Below are 17,319 nucleotides of genomic sequence, written 5' to 3'. Positions count from 1 at the left end.
AGCTGCATAGGACAGGAATGGAAAATAGGGTAATAAGATATGCACCAGTTCCTAAATAAGTTAATAAAAACACTGCTCAAAGAACAGCTGGCCTTAGCTGGAGCTTGGATAAAGCAAAGAGTGGCTGCCTGGAGTCCACTTAATGAGAGATATTAAAGCATCAGTGGGGTCAAGGAGAATTATGCAGAGTAACCCAAATTCACTTTTTATAAAAGGAATTACATTTAAAGAACTTTTAAATTTATAAGTTGGAATTTGATACCTAAGATAATTTCAAAATAGCAAACATTACACTTTTGGAACTGATCCAAGATAAAAAATGTGATATGAATGTAGGAACTTTAAACATTTCCCATAATGGCCTCAGTATTTTACAGATCTTATTACGTTAACTCACAATATTTTTAGTTTTATAGACTAAGCATGGATTTGATCATAGAAATTTAGTTTTTTTTGAATTTTAAATCCACTTTGGACAAAAGTATGTATATACTCACATTATAAATGTATCTATACATGTTAATGAAGAAAGTTTTATAATGAAAGTAAATTTCCCTACTTCATAATGTCTGTACTTAGACATTGTGAAATAATGGAAGAAAACTCCTGTAATTCCAATGAACACAATGATGTATTGAATTTCTAAGGTAGGGGAGACAATATAGTAGAAAGAATTCTGGACTAGTAATAGTTTTGCAAATAATTAATTGTAGAAAACTCAACAAACACTTCAGTTGTGTGCTTCATTTCCTATGTCTGCAAAATGAAATGACTAAATGAAGTTATCTATGAGATTCAATGAAGATCTAAAATTATATAATTCTAAACTTTAATAGCACAAGAAATATATTCATTTCATTACAGTCATCCCAATACTTTCTACCACAGCACTTAATATGTGTTTAATAACTTGATCTTGAATAGATGGATAAAAAGTATCCTGCTTGATATTCAAAATATACCCATGGATGAACTTCTGCTTCAAGGAAGATGAAGTAGATGTATTCTTTCCACTCCTCCCACTATGTACTTAAAAATCATTAAATTCACAATAAATGAAAGGAGGCTGAAAGGTGGAGTTAGGAAGGTAGACCAGCTAGAGAGTGCAGCACTCAAGTAATAACATAGTGGTGAATTCCTTGGGTTTTCTTTTTGTCTCATATATCCTAGAAGCCAGCAATCTGGAAATACCAACCAACTGACCAAAAAAAGCCCCCATAAAAATCTGCTCTTAATGCTAGATGACGAGATAGTGGGTGCAGCGCACCAGCATGGCACATGTATACATATGTAACTAACCTGCACAATGTGCACGTGTACCCTAAAACTTAAAGTATATTAATAAAAATAAATAAATAAAAGAAAAAAAATCTGCTCTCTCTAGCTAAAAATTTAAAAAGCACACGCACACAAAAAAAACAGTGCAGTCTAGCAAGACAGAAAATTTTCAGACAATAACTGCTAGTCTACTCAAAAAAAAAAGCACAGAAAGAAACTATGATCTCATTCTTTCCCATACTGACAAATGTTGAATACAGAGCCTAGTCTTCTTCTCTCTCTTAGCAGTAATAAGGCACCGAACCATCATACAGTGATGTCAGAGACGGCAAAATAGGGAGCCAAGATTTTCACCCTCTCCAGTAGTAATAAGACCCTTCCACCATAATGTCAATGGAAAACATGTGGACATCAGTGAAAAGGTATCACTACTCCTCCCAACCAGGGTGATCCCAGTGGAGACTTAGTAGGGAGCCAAAAATCCCAAGCTAACCCAGGAGCAAGGAGAAATCCTCTCCTTGGGTATAACAAAGCCCAAGTTGGAAACCCGGATTTCTACCCCTACCTGGCAATAACAGACGTACTCCTCCCTTTCTCTACTAGAGTGGTATAAAAGAAAACTGCTTTGGTCTGAATATTTGCATCACCCCAAAATTCATATGTTGAAACCTAAACAGCAGTGTGATGACATTAGGATATAAGGCCTTTGGGAGGTGATTAGCTCATGAGGGCTCTGCCCTCACGAGTGGGATTAGGGCCCTTATGAGTGGGATTAGCTCATGAGGGCTCTGCCCTCACGAGTGGGATTAGGGCAGTAATCACGAGTGGGATTAGGCTGCAGAGTGCTGCCTCATCCCTTTCACCATATGAGGACACAACAAGAAGGAACCATCTATGAACACGAAAATGGGCCCTCACCAAGCACTGAATCTGCTGGTGCCCTGATGTTGGACTTTCCAGCTTCCAGACTGTAAGAAATAAAGTTTTGTTGTTTATCGGTCATCCAGTTTCTGGTATTATAGCAGCCCAAACAAAGAAACCATTATACACTTAATGTCTTTAATACTTATAGTATTAATTTTATTCAACTGTTCAAAATATTCAAATTACCTATTTCATATTAGGGAGTATAGTGTAGTAGGTGTGTTTCCTGAAGAATCAGTACATTTCATCTCATATATAAAATTTAACTGTGAGAGCTGTTTGTAGTATTCTCTTATTTTTTTTTTATGTCTGCAGTGTCTGCACTTGTTTCATTCTTGAATTTTCTCTTTTTTTCTTTGTCAGGCTTGCTAGAGATTTGTCAATTTTATTTATTTTTTCAAAGAACAAGCTTTTCATTTCATTGATTTTTCCTACTGTTTTTCTGTTTTCAATTTCATTGATTTCTGCATTTTATTATTCCCTGCCTTCTGCATGGTTTGGATTCTCTGCCTTTTCTATCTCTAGGCTTTCTTTTGTGGAGGGAATTTAGATTATTGGTCTATTTTCTCTTTTTAAATATATTCACTTAGTGCTACAAATTTCTTTCTTTTCACTGAGTCTCACAAATTTTGATATGTTGAATTTTCATTTCAATTCAATATATTTTAGCATATTCAGTTTGATGTATTTTAAAAATTATCTTAAGATTTCCTTTGCAATCTATGAATTATCGAGAAGTGTTGCTTTTTCTAACTTGTTTGATAGTATATTTCAGCTCAAACTTTGCATCCTGAGAGCATAAAAATGTAATTTTAAAATTCTCCAAAAAGACATCTCTAAGTTCAGATAGTTTCACTGGAGAACTCTCCCAATTGTTTAAAGATAAATGAATACCATTTCCACACAATCTGTTTTAGAAATTAGAAGAGATTCATTTCACACAGCTAGTATTACTCTTATACAGTAACTAGATAAAGGCAGTGCAAAAAAGCAAACTACTGACCAGTATTTTTCATAAATATAGATGCAAAAATCCTTAACAAAATATCATCAAATAGAAATCAGTTATATATACACATACATCAATGCCAAGTGGGGTAGGAATATGCATATCATGGCCAAGCAGTGTAAGAATCCCAAGGCTGGTTCAATATTAGAAGATCAATCAACATAATCCACCTTATTAACAAGCAAAGATGAAAAATTGCAAGAATACTATCAATCAATGCAAAAAAAAGCATTTGACAAAATTTAACCCCCATTTAAGATAAAAATTCTCAGAAAAATACAAGTAAAGGGTAATTTCCTCAACTCGATAAAGAGGAACCTACAGCTAACATCACAAACAATGGTAAAAGAATTGAATGCTTTCTCTCAAGATCAGGAACAAGGCAAGGGTGTCCTCTTTCATTGCTCTTATTCAACATAGAGCTAAATTTCTAGTCAGTGCAGTAAGACAGAAAAAACAAAAGGCATACAGATGAGAAAGGAAGAAGCAAAACTGACCCTTTTTACAAATGGCATGATTTTCTACGCAGAGAATCTCAAGCAATCTCCAAAAAGTTCCTCAAACTCAAAGAGTATGGGAAAATGGCTTGGCGTTTGAATACCACCGAGAAGCCAGTGGCTGTGCAGGCAGTCATATCAGTGTCTGCTCCAGGTCTCTGCCCCTCAACAGCATGGCATGACCGGTGGGTGACCCTGGAGTGAACCATGGAGATGGAGGTGGCACTGCTAAGCCATGGTTTTCCAAAGGTATGGCACTGTGCCTTCTGCCTTGCCCTAGTCTTCGTAATCCTGCCACCTCTGCTTCAGATATACACCCTACCTTCTCTGTTGAAGCCCATCCCACCTGGCAGTGAGCAGCACCTTCCCAGCCAGAGCAGATTTTTCAGAACGTAAAAGAAGATAATCATTACCAGCAGTGGAGACCATTGTAAATTGTTCTTAATCAGAACAAAGTTAGTGCTTTGGAAAATCAGCCTCACTCTGCAGTACTCACACCACCTAATTTTTCAGGTCTCTCCTGGATAAAGAAGGACCAGCTCAAATTTCCTCTCTGACAAGTTGGGATACTATGTGTTTCTCAAAGGACCAAGAAGATAAAATTAGGGAGGTTTATGAGCAAATTCTCAACGTCAAACTAGCAGAGAAATATGAATCGTTTGTGAAACTTACATGTGATCAGATCATACAGTCAAGTGGCAGAGGGCCAACCAGCAATGTTTCTTGAGGCTTTTCTCCATTTCTGGGTACCAGATTTGACCCAAGAGATAGCTGCAGTACACTTTTTGCAATTGTTTGATATACTATTTCAGCTCCAATTTTGCATCCTGAGGACAATTAACCATGTCCATAGGTCCATTTTTACATAACTTGAAAGCCCTTAAAACTTTTTGGTTATCACAACATATTTTTCTTTTATCTTATGCAATAAACAGGGTATCCTATAGTGATACATTTTCCAAAGAAAAAAACAGCTGGAGCAGCTATTTAGCAAAATATGACTTCTGTGGCTGTCAACAAATGAACAGTTTCACTAAACACATTTCCGTAAAAGATGTTATGTGTAAGAGTATCTGTGTTGTATGTATGTGTATCTTAAACTATTATTTGTGTTGTCCAAATTTTTTTTAATTTTGGGGATTCTGGGTGTGAATTTCTGTGCAAGAACTATAGTTAAAATGTTTTCTTGGCCTTCAGAAGATCATTAATATTTTGTGGCCATATAACAGTGGATTGTTTTGCATCCAGGTATTATTGTTAAACACAGAGACTATTTCCAGGCACAGAAAATAAATCATAAGTTAGTATGGGTAGTAGGTGTTATTATGATTAAATAATGAAGCTTTGCCATGTTAGGTCTACAAGTGATGTGAAGAATTTAAACAAACTAGAAACAGATCATTTGATACATGGACTTTGCTCAGCAGTGTCAGAAAAATACCTTGACACCAAGCCTTAAAATACCCACAGGGAATCTCTGCTCATCTCTTTGACAAAATCAAAGAGCTCCCAAGACACTGAACCTCCAAAGGATAAAGGTCTCTCCTGGAGCAGAGCATCAGGGTTTCCTGGGAAGTATAGCATAGGTAAGCATGTGGCCAGGCCACATCCCAGTGGCACTCTTACTTGGGAAGAGTCACTTCATGTTTGTTATTGTCACTAAAAATCAAACCTGACTTCTTTGGTCTCGTTTCCCCAAATTCTTTTAAGAGGTGTCCACATGTGGCTGCTTGAATCTTGTTTTGGCAATGCCCTGCCCAAATTGCTTACTGTTTTTCACCTTGTTCCCAAGGTTGAGGAACAGAAAGTAGCCTGTGGTTGGAGGAAGTGGAAGTTAAGTGTACATTTATTTTTATATTGTGACTTATTCAGGACCAGATTTTACAAAATGTGGACAGGAGAGGGGAGGGGAGGGAAGAAAATAAAGTTGTATTAAATTATTTTAGTTTCAAGATAGAATATATTTCTCAAATTAGGGGTTATTTGGAAAAACTAAATTTAATTCAAATGTATATCTATACCTTCCAAAGTAAGGTAATATTCACTGATGGTTGTTTTGATTAGAAAGCTAAGAGAAATTCTGGAATATTTATATCTGAAGAGTCCTTATTAATGAACATCATTAACTTAAATCTAACTTAAATTGGAACATTATTCTTTGTACGTTTTCAGTATACAGTATTAACAAGCATAGTTTCAAGCAACATACTAAGCTTCAAAAGAAAAAGCAATTCAATGGAGGAGAGACAGCTCTTTCATCAAGTGGTGCTAGAGCAATTAGACATCCATAGACACAATCCATAAAAGAAAAAATTGATAAATAGGACTTCATCAAAATTAAAAAGTTTTGCTTTGTAAAAGACCCTACTAACAGGATGAAAAGGCACACTACAGGCCGGGCGCGATGGCTGACGCCTGTAATCCCAGCACTTTGGGAGGCCGAGGTGGGCGGATCACGAAATCAGGAGATTGAGACCATCCTGGGTAACACTGCGAAGCTCTGCCTCTACTAAAAATACAAAAAATTAGCCGGGCATGGTGGCACGCGTCTGTAGTCCCAGCTACTCGGGAGGCTGGGGCAGGAGAATTGCTTGAACCCGGGAGGCGGAGGTTCCGGTGAGCTGAGATTGCGCCACTGCACTCCACCCCGGGCGACAGAGCGAGACTCCGTCTCAAAAAAAGAAAAGAAAGAAAAGAAAAGACAAGCTACAGCCTGGCAAAAATCATTTGCAAACCATATATCTAACAAAAACAAGTAGCTAGAATGTATTAAAAATGTCCCCAAACTCAACAATAAAACAAAACAATCCAATGAGGAAATGGGCAAAAGTAATGAACAGCCATTTCATAGAAGAGGATATACAGATGGTACATAAGTACATAAAAAATATATTCAATTAGCTATTGAACGTTAGCCATCAGGGAAACACAAAACCAGAATGATACATCATTATACACCTATGTGTGAACCTGGATGGCTCATACATTGTTGGTGTGAATTTAAAGGGGTACAATTCCTTTGGAAAACAGTTTGTCAGTTTCTTAAAAAAACTTAACATGCAACTACCATATGACTCAGCAATGTGCTCCTCAGTGCATATCCTAGACATAGGAAAATTTATGTTCCTACAAAAATTGTGCACGTGTGTTTATAGAAGCTTTATTTCTAATAGCCACAAAATGGACACAACTCACATGTCCTTCAACTAGTGAATGGTTAAGGGAACTGTGGTACATCCATACCAAAAAGAAAAAAAAAAAAAAAAAAAGGCCAGGTGCAGTGGCTCATGTCTGTAATCCCAGCACTTTGGGAGGCCGAGGTGGGCACATTGCCTGAGCTCAGGAGTTCAAGACCAGCCTGGCCAACATGGTGAAACCTTGTCTCTACTAAAAACACAAAAATTAGTTGGGTGCAGTGGCATGCGCCTGTAGTCCCAGCTACTCGGGAGGCTGAGGCAGAAGAATGACTTGAACCCGGGAGGCAGAGGTTGCAGTGAGTCGAGATCGCACCACTGCACTCCAGACTGGATGACAAAGCAAGACTGTTTCAAAAAGAAAAGAAAAGAAAGAAAAGAAAAGAAAAGAAAAGAAAAGAAAAGAAAAGAAAAGAAAAGAAAGAAAGAAAAGAAAGAAGAAAGGAGGGAGGGAGGGAAGGGGAGGGAAGGGAAGGGAAGGAAGGGAGGAAGGGAGAAAGAGAGAGAGAGGAAGGAAGATTGCTACACAAAAAAACTTGGTTGAATGTCTTTTTCTGGGTAAAAAAGGTTACATACTTTATAATTCCACTTATATAACATTGTTAAAATGAAAAAATTATAGAAAATGGAGAACAGATTAGTGGTGTCCAAGGGGTCAGAATGAGGAGAGATGCCAGGATGGTGGGCAGGAATTGGGTCTGTCTATGCAAAGGCAACTTGAGGGATTATTCTGATGGAAAGGTTTTCCATCTGATATACTATTTGTGTACAGTTTTGCAAGATGTCACTACTTGAGAGATGTTACCACTGGAAGAAAATGGATAAAGGATATGAAGGATTTCTCTGTATTATGTCTCATAACTACATTTGAATCTACAACTATCTTTAAAATGTTTAGTTAGAAAATACATTCATCAAGACATGCCTTTCTCATATGTTTTAATACATAACTGTTTAAAAATTGTTTTGTGACTGCAAGTTTCTACTTAAGACACCCAGCATATGCATACTTGGTGTTTGCTCTATGCCTATCACTCTTCTTGGCCTGTGCATTGATTGATTCATTCATTTATAATATACTTATTATCACGTATGCCAGATACTTTTCTGGACATTGGAAATAGGTTTGAACCAAGAAAAATCTCTGTCCCCATGCAGCATGTGAGAACAGACCCACAGATAATGGTACATATAATATATCCAAAAGAGAAAAGTAAAGCAGGAAAGGAGTATGGAAAATTCTAGCTGGGAGGAAGGACGTTCAAGGGCAAATTAGTCAGAAATCCTTTTTGAAGAGGTAGCATTTGAGCATAAATTTCAAGATAAGGGAAGTGACAGATAACTGGATTGAGAAGAAGGGCTTTATGGGCCATTGAAATGACTGGAGATTTTATTCTGTATTACTTAGGAGGCTCAGTAAATATGTAATGAACAAATCCTCCATCTAAAGAGATTTCTGCAGTGTTCAGGAAAATGGCCAAAAACAATCACTGTTTTTAGAATTACTTATGTTGTTTCCTTCTCTAAATTTAGCACAAGTTCCTGATTTTCTATTATAACAGATTCAAACTTCTGGGACAGTCACATCAAACTAAGAGCAGAGTAAGTAGGGGTCCACTTCAGTTATTCAACCTTCCTGCTTACACTCCTTCTAATAAAATACCCTCCTCTGTAGTCAAGCTTTGGTCTCAGCCTGACCCCTTGTACTGCATTCCTTTCTCCACTATGTGTTTTCTCTTGCTGTATCTTGAAATTCCTATTTATTCTCCTCTAACTACTATTCTCACTATTTTCATGAATAGTGAGGGTGTCGGAGGGCAGCTTACCATGAGTGCTTTAGTCAACCCATAATCTCTTCTGATCTCAACCTAACCATCCAAGATATTTCCAATAAAAGAGGAATGTTCTTTGATATGTACAATTGCCATTTTCTCATAGCATACTGATAAACCAAAAAGAACATTTAGAAAACCTGACTTTTATTGATCTATATCAGATGATCTAAGTAAACATTAGTGTACTTGTCTACGAAATTCAAGGTTCAAGACAAATATGTGCCATATCATCCTTTTCCAATTAGGTTACTGGTTCTTAACTTCCCATAGAAAGCAATTTTGAAACTATCAATAAGCAACATCCAATTCACATTTCACTCTTCAAAAAAGTTTCAATAAAATATTTTTCTCCTGAATATTTATTTAATTAAATCTTCAAGGCCAGGCATGGTGGCTCATGCCTGTAATCCCAGCACTTTGGGAGGCTGAGGTGAGCAGATCACCTGAGGTCAGGAGTTCGAAACCATCTTAGCCAACATGGCAAAACCCCATGTCTACTAAAAATACGAAAAATTAGCTGGGTGTGGTGGCACAGGCCTGTAGTCCCAGCTACTCAGGAGGCTGAGGCATGAGAATCACTTGAACCCAGGAGGCGGAAGTTGCAGTGAGCTGAGATTGTGCCACTGCACTCCAACCTGGACAACAGAGCAAGACTCTGTCTCAAAAAAAAAATCTTCAAGCCACAAAATTGACCAACATATTATGTAGGTTTGTGTTTGTTTTATACATATTAAATATGTTTTTATTATAATAATGGAGTTATTTGGATGTGCAGGGCAAAGATCCCCAATGCCACCTGGCACTCAAACTTGGGTCTTGAACCCCACACCTAGAACCTGAACATAGCAAGCAGTAAATAAGTATATATTGGTCAACTGTCCACTGCACTACAAGAAGTGTAAAAAGAGATTCCTCACCTGATGTTCACACTGAAGAAAAATATTATATTTAATAATTAAGTCTATATAAAAGATACTGTATAAAACACCTGAATTTCAATTAGATATACTAATAGTTATTTCCCTCTGATTTATGATAGGCAACTATAATGTCTTTTGTGCTTCTAGTGATTACCCACCGGTAAGTTGAATGTTTTTATTCACTTGCTTGAGAGCAATCAGAATCATGCAACTTTCCTACATCCTTTATTTCAAATCTTAATTCAGGAGATGGATGAGGAAAGCTATGTAAGTAGGATACAAAGGAAAAGTGAACTTTTGATTTAGTGCACTAATTTGTAGCCATAGAAGGGCAGCAGTTTTACTGCCCACATTCAATCTATTAAATGGTATATAAGAATTTTATAAATTCTTATAAAATATATAAGTAATGTATTTAACAAATAAGCTAGATTGGGTGTGTGGCTCATGCCTGTAATCCCAACACTTTGGGAGGCTGAAGCAGAAGGATTGCTTGAACCAGGAGTTTGAGACCAGCCTGGGCAACATAGTGAGACTATCTCTACAAAAATAAATAAAAAATTAGCTGGGCAGGCTGGGAGCGGTGGCTCACGCCTGTAATACCAGCATTTTGGGAGGCCGAGGCAGGTAGATCACATGAAGTCAGGAGTTCGATACCCAGACTGGCCCACATGGTGAAACCCTGTCTCTACTAAAAATACAAAAATTAGCCAGGTGTGGTGGTGCACACCTATGATCTCAGCTACTTGGGAGTCCTGAGGCACGAGAATTGCTTGAACCTGAGAGGTGGAGGCTGCAGTGAGTCAAGATAGCGCCACTTCACTCCAGCCTGGGCAAGAGAATGAGACCCTGTCTCAAACAAACAAACAAACAAAAAATAAGCTGGTCATGGTGGTGCAAACATGTAGTCCTAGCTACTCAGGAGGCTGAGGTAGAAGGATCACTTGAGCCCAGGAGGTTAAGGCTACAGTGAGCTGAGATAAAGCCACTGCACTCCAGCCTCGGTGACATAGTGCGATATTGTCTCTAAAATGATGATGATGATGATGATGATAATTAAATTGAATACATGCCAAGTCAATCATATTGTAGCATTAATATATTTGCAAGCTCAGTGGATTTCCAGTGGATCACTGCATATGCCTGATATCTTCCACTGGACAAAAAGCTAATAAAGAAATCACTGCAGAAAAGAACACCCCTAAAAACCAGAAATACACATTTTACTTTCCCTAAATTAAATTTTTGCATCTGAGGGAAGTACCTTATTTTTCTCTTTTGATTCTAAATTATGGAGCTTGGAAGAGCTCTGGATAAACCCAAATTATAAAATTATCTTCCACAAAAGACCAAGTTTTTAAAACCAAATATTAAATCCCAACATTTATTAGCTTTGTTTTAACTGGTTTTAAATTTTAAATCTTAAGTTTTTATGGGTACATAGTAGGTGTATGTATTTACAGGGTACACAAGATATTTTGATACAGGAATGCAAAGTATAATAATCACATCAGGGTAAATGAGGTATCCATCACCTCAAGCATTTATCATTTCCTGTGTTACAAAAATTCCAATTATACTATTTTAGCTACTTTTAAATGTAAAAGAAATTATTGACTAGTCACCCTGTTGTGCTATCAAATACTAGACCTTATTCATTCTACCTGCGTTTTTGTATCCTTAACCATCCCCGCTTTTCCTACCCCCCCTGCCCCTCCTACCTTTTCCAGGCTCTGGAAACCATCATTCTACACTCTATCTCCATGAGTTCAATTGTTTTAGTTTTTGGCTGCCACAAATGAGTGAGAACACATGAAGTTTGTCTTTCTGTGCCTGGCTTATTTCACTTAACATAATGTCCTCCAGTTCCATCCACGTTATGCTAAGTTTTGATAGTAAAATGAATAAGTGCATTTTGAATCAATTCAAGGTTCTAAAAATTAAATACCGCATGCACATGGACTTGCTGTATTATTTGTATTGGTTTATATGATATATTTGGGCATAAAATTGCTGTTAAAAATGTAGAACCAAGCTTGGGGGCCTTCATCTTTACTGCCCTGTTCCAACATATCTGACTGTGACAAGGGAACCAGCTTAGACACCAAACACTAATCTCCTCATAAATTCAATCGTCACGATACATGTTTAGCTGCATCCAGATTTGACCAAGTTTACATTAAAAAAATACCCAATAATCCCTGGAAGGTCAGACACTAGGCAGTGAGAGAGTGAGCCAAATTTGATTTCACTTTATGTCAAAAATAAGTACGGAGTCAGTGACTCAGAGCTGGCTATACACTGTGACTAATCTTAGACCACATAAATTAGAAGTATGCAACAGGCTGTAAAATTTTTTCCAATCTGAACAATAAATTCCCAGTTCTTACTAACCTCTTATCAACAAACAATTCATGTGAATCCATAAAAAATCAATTACCTAATAAATATTGTAATCATAAATATAATTACCTACTAGATGCAGAACAATTTTAAAAATAAAAATCAAAATATTTTTGAAGCAGCAATTAATACTCATGCTTTATATAAATGATTCTCCTTAAAGAATTTTTATATTTATATGGGAGAAAATATTTATAATTTTGCCTGATGGGAATGTGGAAATAATATATTGTAATGGAGTAAAAACCTCTATGAAAAATAATGAATTTTAGAAGAAAACAATTCATTTCTTTCTTCTACAACCATTTGAATGCCTACAATGTCCAAGGCTTTCTGTTAGAACTGTGAGTAAATAAAGACAAATAAGACATGGTTCCTACAAGCAAAGAGTTTGCGGTGGAAATGAGTGGTTCCCAAATTCAGCATTGTATTATTCACATGTCTTGTTTAAATGAAGATCTGAGTCCTAATTCCCAAATTCTGACTCCATAAGTCTAGAACCATGCCACAGTGCTGCACATTCTGATGCAGAATTCAAGCTTTGAGAAGCAATGGTACTCAGTAGTAGGAAAGTACATAGTTCATAGTACAATATGTTTAATAACTGCTTAATTCTTTGATTTTGAATCCCCTCAATCTCTACATATGTTGCCTTTTAATCCTGAGTTAAGACGGAATTCAAATTTCCAAATATATATATATATATATATATATATATATATATATATATATATATATAATTTTTTTTTTTTACAAAGACCTGGACCTTAAATTTAGGTGGCTCTACATCAGGTGCACATTGCGATTTGGATTATGAATCACAGTTCTACTAACTGAATTTCTGCTTCATTCCTGTGTCTAAGCTGTCACTTTGAGTACCAGTATACTCAATATTACTTTTAATGGCAAAAACTGCAGTTACTTTTGCACCAACCTAGTATCTCCTGCCTTGTTCCTGAATCTCTCATTTATTTCAGATATGTTGTCCTGTAATTTTATTTGCCAGTTCTCAAAGACTCAGCTCCTGCCCAATGATCAAGACCATTATACCTGGTGCTAGACCACCCTGATGCAGACCACCTACCTGGATTTTGACATTTTGACATTTTTTCTTCCCACAGACTCCACATAGCAATGATGTGCTGGCCACCCACTGGGAAAACACCTGTCACCCCTTGATGGACCTTTCTGACACTGTTTGCCTGTCCTCAAAAGTTCCTGGTAATCTACTCCAGTACTCTCCAATACATACAGAATATCGGAATTACCTAGAGAGATTCTTAAGTGCATGGATTCTTAAGCTTCACTCATTGAGGCTATGAGTCAGCAAGTCTGGGATGAAGTCCAGAAATGCCATTAAAGGCTTTAATAAAGAAGGCACATTTAAGCTGGGCTTTTAAAAATGAATAAAATTTTATGTGTCATAGAAAGGGAAAATAATAATACAGTTAAAGGAAGCAAAGCAATCTGATGATGAAAAATGGTTGGATATGTTTAAAGAAGAGAATCTAGTCAATTATTAGTTCATACTAGATGTTTAATAAATGTTTTCTGAGTTAAAATACTGAAATAGTGAAATAGCATGCTAAATAAATGAAGTTTGGCTGGAGACATCAGCTATATGAGAAGATACAATAAAAGGATATAAGAATAAAAAGCTAGAGAGAAGCCAAATTCTAATTAGCGATGGATTCTGGGATATTTTCTAGACAATGAGAATGAGCAAAATATTTGGAGTATTTTAACCCATCTCCTACACATGGTGCCTTTCATTATTACTTCTGTGCTTCAGGTACCCAACTTGACACGTCTAAACTTTATTGTTCAGATATTACATTTCACCTGCCAATGTATAAATGGTCTAATTGTATGTTAGAACCAATTCAATTAAGTGAGTAGGAGGAAAGATGAGACTTATGGGTAGGCTAAAGTAGTGTGGGTGATAAGGCTAGTTAAGATGTTATTACAGGAAGCAACAAGGTCCCTCTAATATACAATGGTGGTGGCCAAGGTGGAGAAGGGGCAAATTGCAGAGCCCTGATGGAAATTGAATTGATAAGACCTGATTGTATGTAGAAGAGATGGAGTAAGGAATTGTATAAAACTATGAGGCTTGGGGTCCAATGGATTGTCAAGAACAGGCATAGAAAACTAAGAAAAAGACAGTGATTTCATGTAACACAAATTCCATTTCATATATATTTGGAGTTGATACTCCAACTAGGTCTTCAGTTGGGATTTTTCAACAATTTGGGTGAATGTGCAAGAAAAAGAGAAAGAGGATAAATGCAGGAGATATTAGAATAAATTGATGGGGTAATATCCTAGAGAAGACATAAGATTAAAATGAAAATGAACAGCTAGATCCCTGAAAGAGGAAGGCAAGGACTTCCTAAGAGAAGATATCTGGAGGGCATAAATAAAGACATGGATAAATTTTGATGGAAGGAGGGCCTATCAATATATTTGATATTATTAGTAAAATAACAATAAATATGGATGATGGGGGAACAGACTAGGTTCAGAAAGAGAACAATTTTCATATGGAATAGAGAGTATTCCTATGAACATATTTCCTATGAAGAATAAACAAGGGATACATAGAAAATTTTGGAGCAGCTGGGACAATTAAGGACGATGAATTTATAGACAAACAAAGTAGAATCATTTCTATTTTTTCCTAGAAATATTTACCAGTCAGCATCTTGGAAAAAACAAATAATGGGGCCTTCTCAGAGTGAGGAAGCTTCCTGGAGGGTAAGTCACAATGACATGGTATGAGATCTAAGGAGCAAAGAGATGGTGTTGTTGAAATGTAACTATTCCATCCTGGAAAGGGAAACACCGTAGTCTGAAAAAATGTTGCACTGGAAGAATGAGAAGGAAAGGATGTGGAGTTAGATGCTGAAATCAGAGAGAAGGCAGACTATGTCTTGATGTTCTAGGTTTACAGCCTCAAGACGGCTTGAAAGACGTTTCCAAGATAAAGGGTCTGGATGTGCCAGAAGTTAACAATTATTGCCAATATCTACAGTGAAGTGGTGTTATCAGGAAAGAAACAGGTTTTAATTTATATAAGCAGGTAGAATATGGAAGAAAATAGGATGAAGGATATTATGATACAGGACAGAGCACTGCTAGGGAAGGTGAGAATTTCGTCTTGTGGACTAAAGCTTAACGACCCGGATATTTTATTCAAATAACATGAAAGATAAAGGCTGGTATAAAGGGGAGAAAATAGATGAAAATGAGTCTGATACTGCAACCATATAGTTCAGGAAAACATCTAGAATTCCATAAAAACAAGTAAGACTAAAAAGAGATATACATGAAAGGTTTACATGTTTATTTCTTCTTTTAAATCACAATAAAGCATAATTCATTAGGTGGGGGTTTTATATTTGTGGAAATACAGTAAAGAGGATCATCTCTCTTTTTTTCCTCCCTTCAATCTCCCAATGTTTTGGAGAAGGGTCAATGTAGTACACAGCTGGTACTCAAGCAACACGTGGGATAAAAAGCCTGTGTTGTATTTTTTAATATGTGCTTTGTATGTTTAGATAAGTATGCTATAAAGATTGCAGGTGGTATTGACACAATCCCCAAATAGTTAAAGGTTTCATGTTAGTTACCTGTTTCACGTTAGTTACCTGTTTCAGGTAGTGTGCTGACATGGCATGTGCTTTCATCACCTTCACCAGCTGAGGTTGAAGCTCTTACTTTAAAGACATATGAGGTATTGGCAAGAAGCTTTATGAAAGTGTACATGTGATCTTGGGGAGAAACTTTTGTAGAATTCCTTTCAACTGTTACCATATACTGCGTTATTATTCCATTTGCCTTTTTGGGTGGATCCCATTTCACTAAAACTGACTGCCAGCTAGTTGCCATGCACTGCATATTCTGCACGACATCTGGAACTTAAGAGATAAACATATGCCCAAAGTTAAAGTGTATACATATGTAAGTAGATAATTGATTGAATTACGTGATCACTAGATACATCTGTGTTTAGAACTAGAAAAATATTTAATATATCAAATTTTCAATGTGTGCTTAAAAAGTCATTAACATAGACAGAATCAAAAGGCTGTTGACTTGCTTTTTATGCTATTGTATTAATCATTACAGTATTGAACCAGTCACTAAATATCTTCCAGTTCGAAGCACCAATCACATCCTCAAAAGCTCAGAAGCAAATGTGTAGCCTCAAGCCCAGGCCCAGGCAGTGTTTGATAACTGCTCTCTTAATTGGAAAGGAAAAATCTTAGCAATACTTTATTATGGAACATTTTTATGCAAAACATAGATGCAGGTGCCTCCCTGTTGTGACAAATCTGGGCTTCACAGTACTTGGAAACCCCTAACTAATTTAAAGGTACTGGTTTTTACCGGGATGGCTTCTTTGGAAGAATCTTGAGGATTTCATTTTTAAGTACCTTTTGTAGACATCATTGGAAGGAAGATTTAAGGAGTCTCAGTCTTATTTTCTAGAGCTTCTCTGAATTTACTTGAAACTAACCCAGCTTCTCAGAGGTCCTCTATATCTGGTAGGCCTGGTCAAAGAACAATATCCTAGCCCACCAAAGTGACTGCACATTAGAGAAACTGGTTACTTCCCACAGAAATGTCCAATTAGCCAATGTCCCCTAATGGTGGCATTAGTAGAATAACTTTTCTGGTCACAGTAAAAGATAATGGTAGAAGAAAAATTGGGACACAGTCAATTTGTGGATTACAAACAATGAAAATTGAAAGAAAATAACTTGCTGCCATTATGCAAAACATAGTGCTTTAAAGAATACTCAGGTGATCCCTGATCTGCCTACACCGCTCTACCTGGGTCTAAACTGAGCTGTTATAAACTTTTCTTCCTCTGTAAGATAAAGACACCAGTACTAAAGGAGAATATTTAGGGAATATGTGGCATTAAAAAATTTTTTAAAGATAATTTCTGGCTGATCAAGGGATCTGGCAATTAAATGCTATTAACTATTCACTTCCTTGTTTTCAGAATCATATAAGAACATTTTTATAAAATAAGTTAACATAAGATAGTTGACAATTTGCTGAACTTTAGTTTCTAAATCCAGATTTTGTGAATATCCATTTTCCTGATTTTTTGAACCTCAAAAAAAAATTAACCATTGATATTAAAACACTTAAAGGTGAAAATTTTATTTATTTAAATAATCAGAGTATAGAATGTTGGGGTACAATTTTATCTTACTGATAAAAAATATTTATGGGTTTACAGAG

At 36.4% G+C, this 17,319-nt stretch overlaps 1 protein-coding gene, 1 long non-coding RNA gene and 1 pseudogene across 2 annotated transcripts in view; 2 read left to right on the top strand and 1 right to left on the bottom strand.

Annotated features, from left to right (window-relative positions):
- Nucleotides 1-17,319, bottom strand: part of PTPRQ (protein tyrosine phosphatase receptor type Q) — a 236,039-nt gene that overhangs the window by 114,829 nt on the left and 103,891 nt on the right. Inside the window, exon 25 of the mRNA NM_001145026.2 lies at nt 15,711-15,980. Coding sequence (NP_001138498.1) covers nt 15,711-15,980 — 270 coding nt within the window. The remainder of the gene's footprint in view (nt 1-15,710; nt 15,981-17,319) is intronic.
- Nucleotides 1-17,319, top strand: part of LOC105369867 (uncharacterized) — a 176,665-nt gene that overhangs the window by 141,794 nt on the left and 17,552 nt on the right. Inside the window, exons 3-4 of the long non-coding RNA XR_007063388.1 lie at nt 13,182-13,281; nt 14,745-14,817. This is a non-coding gene — a long non-coding RNA (uncharacterized LOC105369867). The remainder of the gene's footprint in view (nt 1-13,181; nt 13,282-14,744; nt 14,818-17,319) is intronic.
- Nucleotides 3,901-4,432, top strand: AKIRIN1P1 (akirin 1 pseudogene 1; annotated as a pseudogene).

Source organism: Homo sapiens, chromosome 12 (genome assembly GCF_000001405.40).
Source record: "Homo sapiens chromosome 12, GRCh38.p14 Primary Assembly".
Lineage (NCBI taxonomy): Eukaryota > Metazoa > Chordata > Mammalia > Primates > Hominidae > Homo > Homo sapiens.
Note: the sequence above shows the minus strand (reverse complement) of the source record. Positions and strands in the feature narration are given on the sequence as shown.